The following is a 1180-nucleotide window of genomic DNA, read 5'->3' as shown; positions in this document are numbered from 1 at the left end:
TTAGAAGCTGAGATAATCCACTCATCAGAAACAGAAATTTTGATAAGTCAGTTGGTCAAATTTGTTAAATTGAAACATAACCTCCTGTCACTGAGGATACATTTCACTGAAGGCTCTCTTTCTGGATTTCTTGTGTAAATTCAGTACCACAAAGGTGTCTTAAAGTCTTTGAATAATGTTTGCTGCTTAATTACATAGATACAGCTGCTTTTCTGCTGTAGTTTCCGGATGTTAATTCATGGTTGCTCACTACTGAAGTTCTGACATACCAAATGTCACATGTTGTTTGGATTGGCTCCAAACATGTGACATACCGAATGTCAAATGTTTCATTTTTTATTTATTTATTTATTTATGTTGAAACAGAGTCTCACTCTGTTGCCCAGACTGGAGTGCAATGGCAGGATCTCTGCTCACTGCAACCTCCGCCTCCCCAACTCAAGCAATTCTCCCGCCTCAGCCTCCCAAGTAGCTGGGATCACAGGTGCCCACCACCATGCCAGGCAAATTTTTGTATTTTTAGTAGAGATGGGGTTTCACCATGTTGGCCAGGCTGGTTTCGAATTCCTGACCTCGAGTGATCTGCCCACCTCGGCCTTCCAAAATGCTGGAATTATAGGCATGAGCCACTGCACCCAACTGCTTTCCATGTTTAGAAGGATGCTACTAGTCTCAGAATAGGATCTTGAGCATGTTAATTTATCTGTTCCTTAATTTCTTCATCTGTAAAATCGGTTCATTCAATACAACCTAACATGGTTTGGCTGTGTCCCCAACCAAATCTCATCTTGAATTGTAGCTCCCATAATCCCCATGTGTTGTGGGAGGACCTGGTGGGAGGTAATTGAATCATGGGGGTGGGTTTTTCCTGTGCTGTTCTCATGATAGTGAATAAGTCTCACAAGATCTGATGGTTTTATAAAGGGCAATTGCCCTGCATATGTTCTCTTGCCTGCCACCATGTAAGAGGTGCCTTTGCGCCTCCTTTGCCTTCTGCCATCATTGTGAGGCCTCTCCAGCCATGTGGAACTGTGAGTCCATTAAACCTCTCTTTCCTTTATAAATTACCCAGTCTCTGGTATGTCTTTATTAGCAGCATGAGAATGGACTAATACACAACCACATTATTTCAAATTGAACTGTAAAATCTATTCCCCAAAGTACAGTTTTGATATGGTTC

Source organism: Homo sapiens, chromosome 1 (assembly GCF_000001405.40).
Source record: "Homo sapiens chromosome 1, GRCh38.p14 Primary Assembly".
Classification (NCBI taxonomy): Eukaryota; Metazoa; Chordata; class Mammalia; order Primates; family Hominidae; genus Homo; species Homo sapiens.
The sequence above is the reverse complement of the archived record's forward strand: the minus strand, read 5'-3'. Positions refer to the sequence as shown.